The following is a 4713-nucleotide window of genomic DNA, read 5'->3' as shown; positions in this document are numbered from 1 at the left end:
AGGAGTTGGGTTCTCTGCAACTGAAAAGTCTTATCTGATACATGGATACCAATACTGTATGCTTTGTTGTCTTGAAATAATTCTAAGTGAGGAATTTACTTTCAGCATGCTATGGTCTTAATAGGAGCTCCATTGTGGACATCTTCCTGAAGATAAAAATATAGAATAGTCTCTAGACAAGCTCACTGCTCAGATAATTGCTCTACTGCTAATCTAGACTCTATAATTTGAAATTCATCATAATAGGTTAATATGAATAAAGGCATTCACAATGAGTCAATTATATTGCTATTCATCAACTTGTGTAAGTGCCTGAAGCACAATTTATGTCAAACTCAAGGAACACAAGCTTCATATCCTGAAAATTTGGGGAAAACGTTATTAGTCATAGGTACCTTTTAAACTAAAAACAGGAAATTTTGTTGTGAAATAAAACATGACCAAACTAATTGTTTCTCATTTTATTCAAAATCGTTTCCCCCATGAAGCTTTCCTCAGGAATTGAAAGAATGATATATACACTTCATGACTCAAGTCTTTCCACTGACCTCACTTACCAAGAGCTGCAGAATGTGGCTCCCCACATTGGCTATGATGCTCACCACAGCCCTTCTTATCATAACAGACCTCTTTCCTATCCACATTCCATGTGCACCTCAGCATGTTTCCTGTGGGTGTCCATTGGTCTTTCTGTTTACTCCCAGATAGTTGGATCAGCTGTACTCAAGATGGGAGGAAACTTCAAAATGTCAAAATGCCTATATAAGCAAATGGCAAGAAGTGTACCAGCCAAAGGCAAACTGGATTGTCATCTCCTTGAAAGTAGTTCTATACTCAAATTGTCTAAAGTGACAAGTATACAAATATATAATGAATATGCATGTATATGTGCTTATACATATATATTAAAATTTATTTGGGAATGAGGAAGATTGTTGAGCATTTGAAAAAATTTCATTGGACTATTAACTTGTCTGAAGAAAAGTATAATGGAAATTGAGGAAATCAGGAAAGGAAATATTGTACAAGTTAGGAAAGTTAACCTGGAAGGCTAGCTTATGATAATTGTGGGTTTTGCCATTGAAACTACTGTTAAAAAACACAACTATTTTTGCATCAACCTAATACATTATCCCATAATTATCCCTTGGAAGTCACCTGAGGGAGAATTGTTTTGCTCTCCAATAAATCTAACCAAGTTAATCTGAAATTACTAAAAGGTAAATTTTTAAAGTTCTCAATGTCCTCCTCCAGGAACACACATGGTGCGGGGCAGGGGGTGGGGTGTCTTACTAAAAGGGCATTAGAAAGAACTTACAGAATGTGGCCTTGTGTCACGTGATTTGGAGGAGGGTTTGAGAAGCATGGCTTTGCTCTAGATCGGATGTTGTTAGGAAGTGATATAAGGTCATGACTGGATCTCTCAATAATTCTTATCTAGGAAGAGGGAAGACTAGAGTCAAGCTAAAACTGTCAGCAATAAACAAGCAATAGCCACTCTAATTAGCCAGGATTGGGAGATATTGGGCCATGTTTGTGATTTAAACAGATTTCATTCTTTGCCTGTGTTCATGCATGGTTACGGAGAGGTCTTGTTTTTGTCTTGATTCACCATGGTCATAGGGTGGCATTGTCTGATGTCGGTATTCTGTGAAATCATTTATTTGAAGAGGAGATCGCTAAGACATAGCTGGAGTGCCAGGCCAGCTCCTGGATGTCAGAGGCATCTTTTTCTTTCCCAAAGCCATACAAATTTTTCAATGTCTAATCATATAAAGCAAATCTTTCCACTAAACAACAACAACAACAAAGTCCAAAAAGGCTGAAAAAGATATGTGTAGATTTATTGTATGAGTAGGAAATTGTTTTTTCATGTTACCAGTAACTTTCATTAGAGAAAGTTGATAAACTGTCTCATCTTCCTCATTCAAATTTGGATTAAATTTTTAGACTTTGTGAACACAAGTTTTCAAAATTAGCTAAACAATTCTTCATGCCAAGAAAAACTGAGCAGAATTTTTGAGAGTCTACAAATACTTGAGCTAGAAAAGTCAACAAGGTGTGGACTATACAGAAGCATATATGTTTATGTATGCCACAGCAAACCTGTGAGACTCTTTTGAAAAGCAATTAAGCCAGGCATGGTGACTCACGCCTGTAATCCCAGCACTTTGGGAGGCCGAAGCGGGAGGATCACCTCAGGTCAGGAGTCCAAGAGCAGCCTGGCCAATGTGGTGAAACCCCGTCTCTACTAAAAATACCAAAAAAGAGAAAAAAAAAAAAAAGAAAGAAAAAAAATTAGCCAGGCGTGGTGGCAGGCACCTGTAGTGCCAGCTACTTGGGAGGCTGAGGCAGGAAGAATTGTTTGAACCCGGCAAGCAGAGGTTGCAGTGAACTGAGATTGCACCACTGCACTCCAGCCTGGGCAAAAGAGCGAGACTCTATTTCAAAAAACAATAAATAAATAAATAAAATAAAATGAAAAGCAATTAAGCAATGGAGGTCAGGAGGTATAAAAATATACATGTGCCTTGAGTTAGTAACACTGCTCTTAGGACTTTATCCTGTAAATATTCTTTCAAGAGAGAAAAATTGCATGCTTAAGATATCTCCATCATATTATTCATAGTAATGAAAATTTAATAGCATTCTAATTTCAAACAATAGCAGAAACTTTAAATAAATGTGCATCTACTTCTCCTAGACTGTCTATTAAGTCGTAGCTTAAATGATCATTCCTGCTGCTTTAATGGCACAGCAGAGTTGTTCTGCCTTGAATCAAATGGGTCTTTGTCCCTTCACTTTTATCAGTTACTGGGTGTGGGCAGGCCCCAGAAGGGCATGACCTTGGGTGAGGTGACTCTCTAGCTGGTGTGATTGCTGAAGTGCTCCAGTGGCAATGAAAGAGAATCTGGGTGGCACAGCTGCATGTTCACTTCCGTCCACCCCTAGCACTGCTGGGATCCACTTTTTTTCAATATATGGGGAATAGCTCTTCCAGAATTCTATGGCCTCTCTTCCTGGGGCAAACTTAGGAAAGACAATTAAGTGGGAAGAACTATAGTCCTTGCCTCTGCAACTGGCTGTGGAATTTCAATTGATTGTCTCCCTCCTTCATTGTTCACTGTAGATCTCCCTTCTTTTCAGCTGCCACCGCTGTTTGTCTTAGAGGCTTTCCTGGTGACGTGACCCAGAAACTCGTTCTCAATGAGCCTACATCCCTGATCGCAGTGCCTTTCTCAAGCCAGGATTGCTACACTTGTCTATTTACCATCAAAATTGGGCAAGAGAGCACCAAGAGGCACTAAAGTAGATCTTCTGAGTTCAGTGCATGGGTATGGGGTGCCACCTAACATCACGCTTAATCAGAGACACACACAGGAGACAAAGGAATTGGCTCATGGCCGTGAGATTCACTGATTGTATCAAAAACTGAATCACCCAGAGGTCAGCAGCCCAATAGAGCATTAGAGTGGCCTGCCAAAGGCACAACTGAAACACCAGCCTAGAGGTGATATCTTACCACAAGAATGGGAGCCATCATCTAGGTAGTATATGTACCTTGAACCGAAGACCTTATATGGTGCAATGACCTTAACCAGATGACTGCATGAGTTTGAGAATAAAGAGGTGAAAGCAGAAGTGGTCCTGCTTAACATCCATCCCAATGATGCACTTGGGGAATGTATGCTTTCTTTCCTGGCAATTCTGGAAGCTTCAAGGTTAGAAATTTTGTTCCCTATCAAGAACACATTAAATAGGCCACAACTAAGCATCCTATTGAATTATAAGATATGGCCTCTGAAAGCACTTCAGTCTTTTTCTGTGCAGGCACCAGCAGGCAAGAAAAGGAGTCACCATCATGGCTTGGTAATGCTGATCACGGATTTGACCCCGACCATCAGGAGGACGTAGAAGGAGATAGGCCTACTGATACATATGATAGGGGCAGGAAGGAATATGCTGGCACTGGTATGTCAGGAACTTAAATCTTTGAAGGGTTTCTCTTCTACCCTCCGGAGCACATTTGTCTTAAAGCCTCCAATGTGCCAGCCAATTCTTGCTCATCTGACCTGATTACCATGATGTCATTGACACAGTGGATCAGTGTGATATTCTGGAAGATGTCTAGACAGTCCAATTGCTTTAGACTATATTATTACAAAAGATGGGGCAGCCTCAGGGAAAAACTCTGAATATATATGATTATCCATTCTATGTGAACGGGAACTCTTTTTTGATAGGAATAGAAAAGAACACTTGCCAAATCAGTAGCTCCCCACCACATATCTGAGGCCAGGTTCATCTGCTCGGTCTGGCACAGTGGCTGCAGTTAGGGGTGTTGCTACCACCTGGTTGAGTTTGTGGAGACAATAGTCCACCAGTATCATCTGTTTTCTTCAGAAGCCACACTGCTAAATGAAATATGACAGGAACAACCCCCACCATGTCTTCCAGATACTTAAGAGTGGCAACAATTTTCAACTGCCCTCCCTCCTCTAATATACTACCCTGCTTTTTACTTACCATTTTGACCAGGAATAGGTGGGTGGAGGTGGATCATTTAAGTGCTTGTATTTGACATTCTCATCTGTGACAGCTCTTACCCTACCCACCAAGGACATAACATAAGATTTGTACCAACTATCATGTATATCAAGCCCAGCTACATATTTGGAAGTAGGAATGACTCCCACACAGGTGGGTTAATTA

General features: G+C 40.3%; 1 annotated feature.

The window, feature by feature from the left end:
• Nucleotides 527–732: a silencer, noted in NCBI's record as "fragment chr4:74527344-74527549 (GRCh37/hg19 assembly coordinates)". NCBI's record gives its function as "represses an EF-1alpha promoter that drives an FKBP-Casp9 reporter gene in an ReSE screen in K562 erythroleukemia cells {active_cell/tissue: K562}" and the evidence as "EXISTENCE:reporter gene assay evidence [ECO:0000049][PMID:32094911]".

The sequence above is a fragment of the Homo sapiens genome, chromosome 4 (assembly GCF_000001405.40).
Source record: "Homo sapiens chromosome 4, GRCh38.p14 Primary Assembly".
NCBI lineage: Eukaryota > Metazoa > Chordata > Mammalia > Primates > Hominidae > Homo > Homo sapiens.
Note: the sequence above shows the minus strand (reverse complement) of the source record. Positions and strands in the feature narration are given on the sequence as shown.